The sequence below is a fragment of the Homo sapiens genome, chromosome 14 (genome assembly GCF_000001405.40).
Source record: "Homo sapiens chromosome 14, GRCh38.p14 Primary Assembly".
NCBI lineage: Eukaryota > Metazoa > Chordata > Mammalia > Primates > Hominidae > Homo > Homo sapiens.
Genome location: NC_000014.9, coordinates 46,940,968 through 46,958,944, shown reverse-complemented (window position 1 = coordinate 46,958,944; position 17,977 = coordinate 46,940,968). Strand labels below are relative to the sequence as shown.

Below are 17,977 nucleotides of genomic sequence, written 5' to 3'. Positions count from 1 at the left end.
AGATACATATCAATCACACTTCAAAAGTGCAGACTATTCCTTCTTAGTGGGCACACCCAGAACAGAAATCTATTATATATTGTGTCATACAGCAAGTGTTAACAAATTCAGAGGATTGAAAACATGTGGACTATTTTATCTGACTACAATTCAGTTAAGCAAAAAATCAAAAGCAAAGAGAAAATAAAACATTACCCATATGTTTGGAAATGAAGAAACACTGCTTCTGGATGTAATTGACAGGTGCATGAAATGGACACATTCAACACACACCAATCTACCTCTCCTTTTCCTCACTGTCTTCATGACTGACACTGTTATCCACTTCATTGCCTAAGGCATCATTTTTGGTCCCACTGACCTCACCTTAGTTCAGGCTTTCACCAGTGATTTAATTTTTTTGCAACTTGTCTCTTCCCTCTGTGGTTTATGCTTTTCCTGTCTACCACAGTGTTTTTCCAAAGAAAAAAATTATTTGATCATATAAATCCTTTATTTAAAAATTTTAGAAGACCTCCTCAATACCAAGAAAATGCATTCCTTGAATAGAGTCTCTTTCTTTTCATCTTTATTTCCCCCCAAGCGCTTATGGTCTTCTTTTGTGCATCAGCTATGCTAATCCATCTGCATTTCTCTGAACATCCCTTCCTCTTCAGATTTTGTACCTTTGTATGTACCCATTCCTCTACCTGGAATGCCTTCTCTTACTGCTTACTCACCTGACCATCTCCTATACATTCTGGAAGACACAGCTGAGCATTATTTTTGTAGCATACTTGCCTGGTCAACTCTCATAGTGTCATTCACTTCTTATTTACTTAGCACTGTAGAATTATTTTTCATACAGTTTTGTAAATTAGCTTTTTAAATAGCTGCCTTCAGTATCAGACCATGAAGTAAATGAAGAAAGGAATCTTTTCATTGCATAATAAAAAAAGAATTCTTACCACTTTTAGACAAAGGACCCCAAACAAACAAAAAAGGAATATATTGATAATATTAGAATTAATAGGAAAGTTTAAAAATATTTGCTGAAAGAGGTACGAAGGATCAGTCAGCTCTAGTAGTTTCACCTGCAAATGCATTTGTAAAGCAAGGAGGCTCATTTACTTCCTACCCTCAGGAAATCACATTTCCCAACCCAAGCTAAAATTTCTGGGCTTAAATATGTTCTTCATTCACCTCCTACACTCCTCCTCTATTGCTGCATGTGTTACTGCAAATGGCTTCTTCTAATAAGAGTAGCTTTTGGCTTATTGCAAGTCACATCTTTCATCTGTTTTTACATATCTTTTCTACAGATCCCCCTGCAGTGGAACCAGCATTCTTGGAAATCCGGCAAGGACAGGATCGAAGTGTCACTATGAGTTGCAGAGTACTGAGAGCCTATCCAATACGGGTGCTGACCTATGAGTGGCGCTTGGGCAATAAATTATTACGGACGGGTCAATTTGACTCTCAGGAATACACAGAGTACGCTGTGAAGAGTCTTTCCAATGAAAACTATGGGGTTTATAACTGTAGCATCATAAATGAAGCTGGAGCTGGGAGATGCAGCTTTCTTGTTACAGGTAGGATTCCAGATATTTTCTTTTTATACATTTTGTTTTATTAGACCAAGAGATCTTAGACCTATGTCAATATAAGAATGAAAACATTTGTAAATCAATGGAGCATAGAACAGCTTGACTCCTCAAGTTAGAGTTTCTACAAATTTATTTTTAAGTCAAATTTATTTTAATAGTTAAAAGAATGCACAGGCCTACAAAATTACATAGAAGGTTATCTGAATTCTAGTAGAGTTAGTGAGGAGGAAATTGGTTATTATATTAGTCAATTCTCACAGTGCTATAAAGAACTACCTGAGACTGGGTAATTTATGAAGAAAAGAGGTTTAACTGACTCAGTTCTACAAGCTAAACAGGAAGCATGACTGGGAAGCCTCAGGAAACTTACAGTCATGGCAAAAGGCAAAGGGGAAGCAAGGACCTACTTCACATGGTGGCAGCAAAGAGAGAGAGAGTGAAGGGGGAAGTGTCACACACTTTTAAACTATCAGATCTCATGGGAACTGACTCACCATCACGAGAACAGCAAGGGGGAAATCCACCCCCATGATCCAATTACCTCCCACTAGAGCCCTCCCCTGAGAAGTGGGGATTACAATTCCACATGAGATTTAGGTGAGGACACAGAGCCAAACCATATCAGTTATTTTGAGTGTTTCAATAATAATAAGACATACTGTAGTGTTGGCTGGCTTTAATTAGATCAAGTTGCAAACATTTTTTTTTTTCTATTCAAATCTCATGTGAATAGATAATTGCTCTGGTTTTCTTATTACCAGAATTTTTTTTCTTTTGTTTATTTGCTTATTTATATATGTATTTATTTACTACCTGGCAATATATGGTGACTTTCAATTTTGTCTTTGACTGGCCATATGTTTACAAATATTCCAAGAAAAAGCAGTAGAGTTGTATCTGACAGATAGTAAATTAGGGAGAAGTATTGACTCTTTATGTCATTGTGTTTTAAACATTCCCTCTGTATTATGTCTTATGTAATTATTTACGTTATTTTTATAATCTATATACTGTACATTATTTATGAGTGACAAATTAGGAATGCATTAAAAGAAAATACTCCTCATTTTCTTTGTCATAGGTAAAGTTAGTTGTAATAGTTGAAATGTTCATGGTAGTAAAAAAAAGAAACTGGACATTATGTGTTATCTAAAAAGAAGTCATAAAAATGATTAAAATGTTCCAGACTTAAAACTTATTAATAGCATAAATTCTAAGTGGTAATTTCTAACTCATGAGGGAACTCTCTAATTATGAACTGCCTTTCGCCATTTTTGCTTTCTGAAATGTAATATTAGCTAGTCTAATCTAGGAAAGCATATCAGATGTCTGGATGAAACTTTGAAACACCAATTAGTTCATTTACTAAAACATATCAGGATTAGTATTCCTTATGAATTTCTCATGACTCGAAACTTTGAATCTAACGTAAGAGAGTCAGGGAATAGAAGTATACAAAGATCCATATATTTTTAATGCACAAAGCAAATCTTTCAAGATAATGCTGTTTACTTCTGAGACTCAACCAAAAACATTTTAAATTTTATTTTTTCAATTATTTTACTCTTCCACTTACCATGAATTTTGTATAGTCATCCCAAAGTACACTTGATCTACCTATACACCGAAATGTACGGAATTGAACTAAAATGCAATGACGTCTATACCTGTATTAGCTCACAGGAAATCTTAAAAGATTATTCCTCTTTTCTTTCTTCTTTTAAAATTCTATGTTTATGATGTATGTTAGAGTAAGGGGCTAAGAGAATACCGTTGTGTTCACTTAAATGTCAGAAGGGGTGTGAAAATAGTTTCCTGCTAGGAAAAAGAACAAAGTAAGCAAAGGTATTTTGGAAACTGTGATGAGCCTAGCTTGTAGTATATTATCCATGTTAAAGATAATTAACTATAATACTAAAAAATACTTTGCATTTGCATATATTTTATTTACTCGTATTTTAATGGTGAAGTCATAGCAGTTTTATGAGGTTTAAGTGAGCTTCATGAGCTTTAGTAGAAACCCAGATGCCATTTTTCATCTTCTATGATGGGCTATTTTTTACAAGTTCTAAAGGTTAAGGTAGCATATTGATTTATTAGAATAAGCCCATTTGTAAATTTGAAATTCCAAGTATTATCTATATTACTTATATATTAATATGTAGACATAAATAGTTCTATTTTAATAGTTCTGTAATATTATAGCACAGGATTTAACTGGAGCATGCATTTCAGTTTATCAAAGATTCAAAATGTCTCAATATTTAACTCTGGAAAAACATATACTTCAATACTTCAAAATATCTGGGCTTATTTTTTCATGGCATGACTGAATATCATTCTATGTTATACCCCATTATGTCCCATCACATTTCTTGATCTAGAAAAGAAAACCAGTAAATCTAGAGTGATTAAATAGATGGAGGATGAACAAAAGAGTTAATGATTCAGTGAAAGAAAATTTCTGAAAATAATTTTTAAATGAGAAAAAAGTGAATACAGAGAGGGTAAAAGGATGGCTTAAGTTGAAAATAAATCATATATATTTTAGGAAGCTAGCTAGTGCCCTCTGAAAAAGATAAGTCTATGTTCTAATCCCTGGAACCTGTGGATATTAACTTATATGGCAACATATGTAATTAAGTTAAGGATTTTGAGAGAAGGAACTTATCTTGAATTATCTGGGTGGGCCTCAAATGCAATAGCATGTATTCTTATAAGAGAGAGGCAGGGGGAGTTTTGAGAGAGAAGAGGAGGCAATGTGAGTGTGCAGTAATGCAACCACAATCTGAAGAACCCCTGGAGCCACAAGAAGCTGGAAGAGCCAAGGAATATATTCTCCCCTGGAGTCTCTACAGAAGTAGGAAGTAGGGTCCTGCCAAGACCTTGGTTTCAGACTCCTGGCCTTCAGACTTGTGAGAAGATAGTTTTTGTTTGTTTGTTTGTTTAAGCCACCCAGTTTGTGGCTGTTTGTCGTGGCAGTCTTAGATAACAAATACACTTTACAACTCACTATTTCAAAGAACCCTGCTGTTAAAAATTATACGAGATGAATAGAACAGTTTTGTCAACTGTCCTCAGTTTTATCACACTAAGCAAGCTAGACCCTGGAGACATGGGTGCACGTGTCTTACAACTCAGCAAAGTTGTGAGAAGGGGTTGCTTTTGCCACCTAAAGGGCTAACTGGAATAAGCTTACAACTGCAAGAAGCAGTCAATGAGGAAAATCAACCTGCGAGGTTTCAGGTCACCTACATCAGTAGACTGTGTAGGTTTAAGCTACACATTGGCTTAAACCAACCCCAAGGGATGCTTCAACATTGAAATGTTATGCCCATTACACAATATAGCAGAGAAAAGATGTTTCCAGCAGCTTGATTATATAGGAAACCAGATGACAGAATCTACTGGTAGATTCGGTTGACAGCACCAGAGATTAATGAAGATGCACTTTTATTCTTTTTTTGAACGTGAAGATACAGGCAATCTGCAGCAAAATGCAGCATTTATTTATAAAGTTTTAAATTATCTATGTCTTTCAAATTGTTCTAATTGATATTCCTAAATATTTAGCAATCAAGATGTTAGTTCTAAGCTATTCTAATTATGTTCCCACTAACTACACTTTCTTCATATTTCTTTACTTTAACAGACTTGTTTCTGACATTATGTTTTTACTGAAATGTTTATGGGCATCGGGAGACTAATATTTCTTGACAAGTCAGGCAAGACAATAATGTGAAAAAAAGCATAGTTTTTATATTTAGCTTTTTTGTTTTGTCTAGTTGCTTAAATGCAATAGTCTAAGCATATGCATTTATTACATGGTTTTAGATCAAAGAAAATAAGAGGAAAATAAAATGGTAATCAATGTTCCCTATATAATCCAGGAGATAAAAGTAGAATGCCCTTCTAACTTCCAGAAAGTGCATGTACACAGTTATATATACTTAGAGTTGTAAAATATTTAGGAATTTTATCAATGGAGACATTTTAAGATTCTTTTAAATGAAAGATACTAAAGGGGTGGTGTTTTTTTTTCAAAAGTTAACAGTGTATATATATAATAGATTTTTTATTGCATAACCATAAATTATAATTGAGTATAAAACCACCAATATGTACTCTCAACTGATTTTTTTTACAGTCAGGAATGTATTTAACAAGTATTTACTCTCTACTTACTAAGTGTGAGGTACAAGATTAAACATCAGAAAGAGAACAATAAAAACTTTCTCTGAAAAACTTTGCCAGTTTTACATTTGCATAGTATCTTGAAGTAATTTTGGTTTTATATCTATTGCACTTCTTAAGCCTTATATTCTCTTCTGGGATACTGCAGTTTCCTTTTATCTGATCTCTGAAATTTTCATATTGTTGGGCTTTATTTTCCTAGAAAACCTAGCTTATCTTAAGTGAGAAAGGTTGATTCTGTTCATTGCCTATAGGATGATATGCAAATTCTTCATTGTCATAATTCTTCAAAGCATTCATTAATATTTAAAATAAAATATATAGCATAATCTCTATTTCAGTTCTACCAGTTATTCCAAATTCAATTCAAATTTGACTATGCTGCCTTCCCCCAAATCATCACACATTTGTGGGACTCTGCCTTTCTTCACATGTTACTTTATTCTGAAATACTAGCTTTTTGTATATCTCTATGCTACAGTTATGGTGACTTTTGTATATGACTTTACCAGGGTTATGTTAATCATTATTCTTCAGCCAAATAGAAAGGTGCAGGCTGTGATAATATTTTATGATTCACAAATTAATGATTACTGCTGTAAATGCTTTTCTCTGAACATGTAAATAAACTCCAAATAACCAGGATTTAAATATGGCTTAACCATTATTTAAACAGTCTAGAAAATTATTTCACTCAGGTTAAGTGATGTATCATTTCAGAAAGTAACACGATGGTTCTGTTCCACAAAGTCCTTGGGAATTCAGGCTTCTTCCATCTTAATCCTCAACCACCATCAATAAATGGTACATCTTATAACCCTGACTACTTAAACTCCAGCTATTAATTCCACATTTCCTCCAAAAGTAAAGCATGCTTCTTCTTTTTGAGGAGACTTCCCAATAATTTTAGACACTTTTTTTTTCTGCTTGGATTTCATTGAAAATAACTTTATTGTATTGCTTCACCGTCAATTAATGTTGTGGGTATAGATTTTATTTTAAGAAGATTAAATTGCATTTATTATATATTTAAGTTTCCTTTATTGAAAATACTGCAATGAAATTAAAATGAGATTGCCAAGGAAAATCCTTGAACTATGGTTTTATCTCTGTAAACTATGCACCATTACTATTGTATCCCTTTTTCAGAGCCACGGACATTTAGTCTCAGAATAATTTCAAAAGATAGATGATATGAGGTTTAATTATTGACTCAAGATATTTTAATGCTAAACATAATAAAATTGATGGTGCTGTGTTGGTTATTATTTCTGCATAAAGAATTACATTATACAAAGTCAAAAGCTTTAAATAACATATTTATTGTCTCACAGTTTCTATGTGTCAGGATTCCAAGCATGGCTTAGCTAGATCCTCTGTTCTGGGTCTCACAAGGCTGCAGTCAGACTGTTGGTTGGGCTGTGTTCTTATCTAGACGCTCAACTGGGGAAAAGTCCCTTCCAAGCTTATTCAAGTTATGTGAAGAATTAATTTCTTTGTGTTGTATGATAGAGGCCCTGGTATTTGCTGGTTATTTGCTGGAGCTACCCTGAGACCCTAGAATATGCCTGCAGGTCCTAGAAGCTACCTGCAATAGTTTGTCCCATGGGCTTCTCAAAAGTGACTACTTATTTCAAACCCACAAGAAGAATCTCTAGCTCCAGTCTGCTAAAATGGAATCTTATGTACATAATACGATCACAGAAGTGACATTCTGTAACATTTTTTAGGTTCTGTTAATCAGAAAGAAGTCACGGTTTTTCCCTGACACTGAAGGAATTACACAAATATATGAAAAACAAGAGACAGGAATCATTGGGAGTCATCTTAGGGTCTTTCTGCCACAGCATTTCCTGCCACTAGGAGTCCTTTTTGAACATAGCCTACATAAGAATGAAACTGCTGTATCTATTGAAATATTAACTAAATAAATCCTTCATAGTTTAATCCCTTTCCTTAATCCTGCCAAATAGGGTTTTACAAAGCAAAATTTTGCCTGTAACTGCTACTCTCACCTCTAGTTTGGAAATATTTGAGCTAGGATTTCACATCCTGTATTTTCCTTTTGGCATATTACAATATTCATATTGACATATTGGAACTACCAGTTTCTCCATGTTCAGTATATAAAGAAATTAAAAATGACTGAGGACTTTAATATCACCTAAAACAAGATGTTAAAGGAATATAGCATTTCTTATTCCTGAAGAATAAATGGGAAGAAACAACTACTAAAGCAGATTTGACTCCACATCAAAATAAAGTATTTTATCTTTTTTTTTTAAATTTGGACTGAATTAACAGTGACCAGATAGAAAATATATTTTAGTCTCTGGCAATGTTTTTATTTACTTATTTATTTATTTATTGCTATTCAGCTAGATACTTCTTTCTTAATAATGTCTAAAAACAAGCAACATAATATTGTTAAAAATCATTAATAACTATCAGAAGTAAGAGCAGTCTAAACATACTTTGAAAATGAAAAATAATTGCCAGTAAAATTGTGATAACTCTAAAAGGCAAGAAATTTCAATGTCAAATCAAAGTTTCTCAAGGCCAGAATTTTGCTAAATTTATTAGAATTTTATTTATGATGATAACAGATGGACTAGTGGATCCCAGTATTTTAGCCAGCTTATGAGTTGCAGCTGTACTGAAAAATAACTTTAAGCAGAAAATGATATCACTTCTATGTACAGCCTTCTGTAATATACGAAGTGATTCCATACATATCCTTATCATCTCCAACAACCCTACTACATGTGCAGAAGAGATGGTATCACCCTCCTTTGACAGATAAACTAACAGAGGTCCAGTAAGCCAATAATAACATAGTTCAAACTCTTTTTGACACATATCAGTGACTCTTTTAGTAGTGATGATAAAGGAATATTTGAATAATCAATCTAGATAAAATATAGGGGAATCCATGCGAAATCTGAAAAATTAGGAATAAAAATGTAAGTATCACTTAATGAAGTTAATGCTATCACTTATTACTAAAATATATACCTTAATATTCAATTTAAATTCATATAATTTTTTAAACAGTTATTTTTCTCCAGTAAACATATAATGAGGAATTTATATTTCATATCATACTTAAATAAAAACTTCAATTAAAATTTTCATTATTTTTACAGCAGTTTGATGGCTCCTTAAATTATTTGCATTACTCATTTTCTTCATTATAAAATCATTTAATTTCTCCAATAAAAGATTCAGAGCAATGTTGCTATCAAAAATCTACTATTTAAAGTGCCACTAGCATTCAACCCTGCCATCCCACTACTGAGTATCTACCCAAAGGAAAAGAAATAATTATATAAAAAAGACACCTCAACTCCTATGTTTATTGCAGCACTATTTACAATAGCAAAGTCATGGAATCCAACTAAGTATCAATTAATAGGTGACTTAATTAAAAAATGTGGTATATATATGAGGAATACTATATAGCCATAAAAATTAATGAAATCATGTCCTTTGTAGCAACATGGATGGAGCTGGAAGCCATTATTCTAAGTGAAATCACTCAGAAACAGAAAATCAAAACTCAGTGTTCTCATCTATAAATGGGACCTAAACAATGGATACACATGGACATAAAGATGGAAATAATAGACTCTGGGGATTCCAAAATTGGAGAAGAGAAAGGGAGGTGAGGGTTAAACAATTACACATTGGTAAGCATTTCAATGCTCGCTATTTGGATGATGGGTACACTAGAAGCCCAAACCTCAGCATTATGCAATATAGCCATGTAAAAAACTACACATATGCCCCAAAAATCTTAAAAAATAATAAAAAAGAAATCACAGTATCAAATTACAGCATGGAGCAAATTACGTGAACTCCTCTAGTCCACATGGAACTCTTCTGGATGATGTACTGTGGGTATGACTGTGTTTTATTCTTGGTCAGTATGTAAAGAAAGTTCTCCCATGAATGGAAGATTTTAACATCTTCTAACAGATTAGCTCTGTGCAAGCCATTTAATTCTTTGTGGCCTTGCTTCCTCTATCTGTAAAATGGGAGATGATAAATCTGCTTCCCATGGCTCACATAATTTTAGGATTATCAAATAAGCTAATCAGTTTGAAAGTGTTTTAAAAACAAAGCAGTATGATCATAGAAAAATAAGATGAGAAGATTTCCAGATATACCCATAGGTAAGCTACTTTCTGCCTGAGTAACACAACATTGAAAATGCCCCTCCAAAAAGGCAGAGATGGAGAGGATGACTGATGTCAGAGATAAAGTAAGTAATCAATGCACAATTGAGCTTTGGTTGGAAAAGAAGTGTGGTAAGAATATTAGGCTGGAACCAATGAGGCCAGTGACAATATTTTGTGGCTTGTCTGAGAGATAGCTTTGCATTTTAGGTGAGCTTTTTCCCCTCTGTATATTATTCTGGGTGGCTTATTGCCTGACATTACCAAGGAGCAGAAAAGCAGCAATTCTAACTTGAAATATTAGGAGAAACGTTGAGAGAGAATCAGAGCTGGAAGGGACAGTGTATAGAAATGAGGGCAACAGGGTGGTTGGCTCTCAGAGTTTCTACTGTTCTTCCTCTCCTCACATCTCCATCCACACTCCCTCAAGCTAGACCACACCCAAGAGGCAGGCCAACTTAGGGTAAGAGCAGTGCCTGGACCTAGAGTATTTCAAACTGAGAGAACTGGAGGGAGAAAACTGAAGAGTAGAGGGAAGAGAAGATAGAGAATGGTAAAAATGATACTGCAACCAGATCTCTCCGTCCTGAAGCACTCCTTCCCTTTACCTAAGGAACACAAGCAAGAGCCTAGGTCATCCTTACTCTCATAGACAGTACTGGTCAAGATATTTAGGGATCTCACAGGAATAAAATATGCAAAATCATGAGCAAAACAATTATGAAAGCAAGAAGACAAATGGAATAATCTATTCCACATTAGGTAGGAGTATTAATAATCAGAAAATAAGATTTTTAAATACATAAAATTTCATCCTCAAAGAAAGCAGGGAGGATATAAGAAACATGATGAAGAAAAAAGAGCATTGCAGAAAAGAAATTTATGACAATGGGTATAAAAATGTAACAGTTGATATAAATAACTATATTACTAGACTAAATTGCAGAATAGGCACAAGGCAGGCATAAGTAGTTTGAAAGATGTCATAGAGGAACTCTCCCAGTAGAGGACACAAAGGTAAGTAAAGTCTTAAGAGGTGTGAAGGACAAAATAATAAGTATCTGCTTAGCAGGAAACCCATAAAGAAGTAAAAGACCAAATGCAGAAATAAAATTAAATGAAAAAAATAATAACTGAGATTTTTTTTTTAAATTAGAAAGTAAAAAGGACGACTGTATTAGTCTGTTTTCACACTCCTAATAAAGACACACTCGAGACTAAGAAATTTACAAAAGAAAAGGGTTTCATTGGACTTACAGTTCCGTAGCTGGGGAAGCCTCACAGTCATGGTGGAAGGCAAGGAGGAGCAAGTCATGTCTTACATGGATGGCAGCAGGCAAAGAGAGAGAGGGAGCTTGTGCAGGGGAACTCCTCTTTTTTAAAACCATCCGATCTCATGAGACTCACGGAAAGAGCATGGGAAAGACTTGCCCCCATGATTCAGTTACCTCCCACCAGATCCCTCCCACAACACATGGGAATTCAAGATGAGATTTGGGTGGGGACACAGCCAAACCATATTGGCTAGACTTCTGAGTGATGTGGCTCATGGAGTGACAGCAACAATATGTTGGGGGGAAAATTTACATGCTCTGATAAATTTAAATGAATTTTAAAATATCAAGTACAAAAATGTTTGAAAAGTTATTTATAGAGATAAAGCAGATAATTTATACAGGATTTAGAATTATATAGACATTAAACTTTGTGCAACTTGACATGCAGAGAGATAATGGAGTTATGTCTTCAAAATATTAAAGAAAAAGTAATTGAAAAAGAATTTTGCATGCAAATAAATGTACAATTAATTGCGAGGACACAATGAAAATATTCCTATTCTAAAAGTTTATCTTACAAAGATAATTTTAAAAAGAATTCTTGTTTGTTGGAATTAAGCAAGAAAGAGATGGATCTGAGGGAAAAGAATGGAATATGAGAAAGAAGAAAGAATGAGTAAAAACCTAATCAAGTCTGTTTTTTGTAAACAAGTAATGTTTAAAATATTTTATTCATAATCATTCAGTATTAAGACTTGAGTCAATGCCAATATGACATAAGGGGCAGGTCTTATGAGGATATAAGGGGAAGGACCTGGCATCCTTCCTACGACCTGTCAGTCATGGTAGGGAGTTGTTGACACTGAAAAATCAGTGTTTCACTGTACTGTCAGTTTTCCCTGGGCCTGTGGTGTAAGTAAGGTGGCTGGAGGAACTTAGGGGTAAAAGAGAAAATTCTAGTTTTGGAATCCTCTTCTCTGGTCTTGGTATGACTAGCTCTTTCTTTTTCTACAAGTCTTAATATATGTCATCTCTCAGAGACTGTCTTCAGAATATTGTCAAACCCAGAAATTATGTAACTGTTTGTTGACTACATCCACATCATAATGTATGTTCCATAGGAGCAAACATCAGTCCATTTATTGAATGAATATTTCAGGCCATTAATATTTCTCTTAACAAGCACTTATTCCTGCTTGTTAGCCTTTCATTTACTGCTGTATTGGCAACACAACTCAAGTGCAATATCAGTTCACAAGCAAATGCATTCATTCATTTCAAAGTACAGAAACCTTTGAAAAGGTCATTTTTTTTTTGCAGGCACATTAATAGATTGTTTTGTGAGTAAACAAGGGAGAATACACCAAGTTTCAATAATTATCATATAAATTGGCATTACAGCTGTAAAATCAAGCAATAAAGTTATATCATATTGAGCTCACTGCCTACAATCTCCCCTCCAATATCTGTAGGAATTCCTCATATATAGAGCACTACTAATGAATACTTATTCAATGAGTGAAGCTATAGGAAGAGAAAGGAAATTTAGAAGTTTAGATCTCATACCTTAATTTTTATTCAGATTAAATTAAAACATCATTTAGAGTTTTAAAGATTTTTGTCCACTTTTTGACTCAGTTTATCTGTGTTATAGCATATTATTTGTTTTTTTCTTTGTGCTAATTTTCTTTGATTTTTAATTTAAGCAACACTATCTACTTAACCATATTTGTTAACCATGTATTTAAAATACATGCATTATACAACTCATGTCTTCCTTAAAATCTTTTGAATATTGTGTTGTAGCTTTGCTAAAATCTTGGAAGTTATCTGGAAAATACTAATGGAGCCAGCCTTTCTACTACAAACGACCATAAAATTGGACAAACTACATGAGGTTACAATTTTAAGGAATAAAAACAGACAGTGCAAGGCTGCATTTCCTGTGAGAGGGAAACCCATGAAGTGAGCCCCATGATTATTCTAGCTCTCCATTTGGGGGAATTTGCTGTATATGAGCATAGCAAGGTAGATTCCAAGCCGAGCATGGATTTCTGGCTAAGTTTAAGAAACATATATTAAAACTCAAAGCAGCAAAAGCATCTATCTGCAGGACAAAATACTGTATAGTAAAAAACTCTGTAGAAGAAGGGTCATAGGAGTTAGTGTGGATCCTTACCTAAGGATCAGACTCTACAAGGATGAGGTGATTTACCATTTTCTTCTCTATGGGATTTTTGTGAGTAGAAAATTGATAATAGAGTTCTAGCAATGCTTAAAGGAAGCCAGAATTTCAGCTCATCAGGTAGATTATACCTCCTTAAATTCTAAACATCCTGATGAGACTCCAAAAGGATTAAATCAGAGGAACAAAAACCATGTCAGAGTAAAGACTTATTCTAGGTACTCCTTAACAAAGACTAACACCAAGCTCTGCTAAAATTTAGAGGGAGGCGGAATTTTAACGGTGAGTCCCACCAAGTTAGAAGAGTTTAGGAACATCCTTGGATTTCCACAGATTTCATCACTTTTTACATTAAACGTAAATGGCAAACAAAGGTTCAAAAGGGACAGCAGGTAATTGAACTGTCTACTAAACTAAAACTTGGCACTCTTTACAGGGTGAAAGAGAGCACAGTCCAGTTATTTATCATATATTCTTCATAATGTTCATTAAACAATAAAAAATTACCTGACATGAAAAGAAAATAGGAAAATGTTACTTTTGGTCCAGAATAATAGTAGTTTATTAAAAACTAACCTTAAGGTAGGCCAGATGTTGGATTTAGCAAAAAGCTTCAGGTAGCTATTATGAATATTTTCAAAGTATTATGGGAAAATATGTTCAAATAATTAAAGAAAAATGCAGATTTTGTGAGCAAATGAGTAAGAAATTTTAGCATACAAAAAACCCTAAAAAACAACTAGATGCAAATTGAACAACTAAAACTGCACAATAATTGAAAGAAAAATTCTATGGGTGGGCTTAATAGTATATTGGAAAAGGCAAGAGGACTGGTAAAATTGAAAACAAATTGAAAGAGCTGATACAACCTGATAGATCAAAAAATAGAGGGATTGAAGAATAAAGAGAAGGGACCTAAGAACATGGGGCACAATATAAAATAGTTGAAAACAGGTGCACTTGAAGTTCTGAAATAGAGTGAGAATGGGGCAGAAAAAATGGCTGAAATTTTCCACAAATTTACGAAGCAAACCCACAGATCCAAGCATATCATGGTGCACAAGGCAAGAAAAATACAAGAAAACCACACGTAAGAATACCATAGTCCAATTGTGGAAAACTAATGATAAAGAGAAAATTTTCAAAGCAGCCAGAAAAAAAAATGATATTCTGATGATATGTATGACAATTACTTTCTCATTAGAAACAATACAGCTTAGAAGAAAGTGGGACATCTTTAAATCTTTAAATATCTTTTGAAAATACTGTCAATTTATATTTTATGTCTAGTGAAAATATACTTTAAAAATTAGAGTCAAATAAATATATATATTCTGAAAAAAGCCAGAGAATTGGTAGTCTGTGAAACTGCAGTACAAAAATATGCTAAACGGTGATCTTTATACTTAAGGGAAAGGCTATCAGTGAAGACCAGGATCTATAAAAATAAATGAAGAGGATTAGGTATAGTAAATAAGTGGGTAAAGATAAAAGACTAAGTTTCTTTTATCTTTCAATTTCCCTAATAAACATCTATATAAATGGGGTCAACAAATAGCAGCCTGAGGTCAGCAAACTGTTTTTTGTAAATGAAGTTTAATTGGAACACACCTTTCCTGATTTGTTTATGTATTGTCTAAAGCTGCTTTCATGCTACAGCCACAGAGGTGAGTAGTTGCAACAATGACCATATGGCTCAAGCCAAGAATATTTACTGTCTCACCCTTTACAAATAAGTCTGCCAATCAATCTCCAGTTTGAAGAAAAAATAACAACATTGTAATTTAGGGTTCACAGCATATTTAGAGCTAAAACATGCCAATAGCACAAGCGATGGAATTAATTTGAATTATACTGTTGTAAATTTATTACATTTGTGATGTGGGAAGTGAGAAGTAAATAGGGACCTCAGAGAATCATGAAGTATGGAATGTGATATGTTAACTGGTACAATATTGACTCTAAGTAGAATCAGTAAGTGAATGTTGCATACTTTAAGCCATATAAAAATCCTTCAAAAGTTTTTTGAATTTAGTCAAAATACACCAAGTAACAGATGAAGGAAATATTGAAGAGACAAAACAAAGAGCAAGATGGTAGACTTTAACTCAGTCATGTTAATAATTACAGTAAATGTAAATGAGTTTAAGATTCCAATTAGCTGTCAGAAATGGTAGAACTGGACTGAGAAAAAAAAATGCACTATCTACAAGATACACACTGTTTTCTACCAAAAACGCACTTCAAATACAAAGACACAAAAAGACTGAAAGGAAATGGGGGAATACATAGCATTCAAACAGCAGACATAAAAATGCTGGCATGGCTGTACTATTACCAGAAAAAGTAGACTTCAAGATAGAGTAATTACGAGAGTTAAAGAGGAACACAATAATACTACAACAGGAATTTATAGGGAAGACATAACGGTTCAAATTATGTGAACATCTATTAATAGAGCCTTAAAATTCCTAAATAAAAAATACTACAAGGAGTAACACACTATTCCATAATTATAGTTCAAGATTTTAATACCCATTTATTCGTGATTGATAGAATATGGAGATAAAAAACACTAATATTTTAGAAGATTTTAAGCATACTATTAAGTAAATTAATTTACCCAACAGAAATGAAAGCACATGTATACACAAAGACTTATGCACAAACTTTAATATCAGCTTCATTTGTAATAGCCTCAAACTAGAAACAATCCAAATATCCATCAACAGATGAACAACTTGTGATCTATTCACGAAATGGAATTTTACTCAGTGTTAAAAATGGAAAGAACTACTGATACATGCAAGTGGATGGATTTCAAAAACAATGTCGAGTGAAAAGAACCAAATACAGAAAGTGCATATTTTATGATTTCATTTATATGAATTTCCTGAATAGGAAAAACTAATCTTTAGTAATGAAAAGTGGATTTTTGTTTGCCTGGGTCAAGGGTGGAGGTGACTAATTACGAAGGGGCAGGAGGTAACTTTCTGCAGAGATGGGAATCTATATCTTGATTATGGTGGTGATTACATAGCAATATATATTTTTCCAAACCCATCAATAATCACATTTAAAATTTATGAAGTTTATTATATGTAAATTATATCTGAATAAGGTACTATTGTGTTGTAAATGAATAAAACATCTGCTAGCTAAGGTAGGCTTCAGAATAGGAAGTGTTTCATAATGTGAATGACATTTGTTCCATGTAATGTTATAATGTATGTAATTTTTCTAATGCATATTGTAGTAACATATGCAAAGTAATTTAGCAAAATTAATTTTTCCTCAAGAATGATTTGTTCCTTTTTCTCCTCCACTAGCCTTCAAAATTATTTTAGTTGGGGAAGCTAAAATGGTTATTCTGCACAGTATTTCCCCTCTCCATATCAATGTTTCTCTCTTATATTTCTTGCATTAAGAGACAGCGAATGTTACATCAAAAATATAGAAAGACCCAATTTGTTGGTAGCAAAAGTCATATATAAAAGTTAAATCAGAAAGATATCAGTCAGGTTTGGAGTATTACCATTTTGTAAGCAGAGACAGTCACTGCTGTGTAAAATAATGGAAAGACAGAGATATCAGTCTCGAACAAGCTAGGGTGTAGGGTTGCAAAACTGTGTCTTACAGCTTGCTCACATTACTTTTGAGTCTGCATTAGATCTAATTTGTAAATAATAAGAAACAGTCTAAAAATTCAAACAGTTTCCTCTGAGAGAAAAGAAACTTTCTAATATGTACTGACACCAGAGAAGAATAGAACAAAGAAAACTGAATACAGAAAAGCACATCTATGTATATTAATATCCTATGTTTAGTACTGCTATTCTTAAGGGCCTATTTACCTCTTAGCACATTTAGATTTTCCGGTAGAAATTGAATGGTAATAAAACCAATCTGTGAAGGAATCACAGAACTTTTTAGTTCAGTGGAATCAAAGCCATCTCTCAAACCTCCCGGTGTCTGTTTAAGCACCTGGCCTCTGTCCTTCACCCTGAAGGAATGATTAATGGATGAGAACAGTGCAGAGTGTGTTCCAAGGGCATGCCTGAAACTAAGAGTGGTCAGGAGAGAGAATCCACAGATGATAGCCCACAGCCTGATCTGGCATCTTTTATCAAGAGAGATTTTGTGACAGGGCTCTAAGTTGAGAAAGTCAATAGACGTTTTCTTGTTACAAATTCTGTCAAGGATTCAGACCAGAGGTTATAACCACAGTCTTATAATTTCACATTACTTAAGTGAGCATTACTTAAGAAATCTCCTTCTCTTATCATTCTAATGACTTTGTCTATTTTAAAAGAATGTATGACAAAGACAGTTACTAGGAGCCTCGGGATCCAACTGCAGGCAGATAGATACCTGCTTTGCAGTCAGATCCAGTCCAGTGATTCCTTGCAAGGTGATAAGAGCAGTTATTTGTGCTCTATTCTTTTTCTTGTTCTAGGATTCAAATTCAAAACTTTTAGTTATTCCTGGAGAGGCACAGTGATGCAGGTTCAATAACCGGTTTCCTTTATTCACATCTAAATCTACTTTATTAACTCA

General features: G+C 33.7%; 1 protein-coding gene across 9 annotated transcripts in view; it reads left to right on the top strand.

Annotated features, from left to right (window-relative positions):
* The window catches only part of MDGA2 (MAM domain containing glycosylphosphatidylinositol anchor 2), an 835,983-nt gene that overhangs the window by 716,661 nt on the left and 101,345 nt on the right, over positions 1–17,977 (top strand). For 8 of the 9 annotated variants that reach the window (XM_011536519.3, NM_182830.4, XM_047431048.1 and 5 more), the window contains one exon: positions 1,302–1,571. In XM_011536519.3, the coding sequence (XP_011534821.1) occupies positions 1,302–1,571 (270 nt within the window). Of the gene's footprint in view, positions 1–1,301; positions 1,572–17,977 lie in introns of those variants that run through there. The other variant, XM_011536522.4, reaches the window with a different exon arrangement.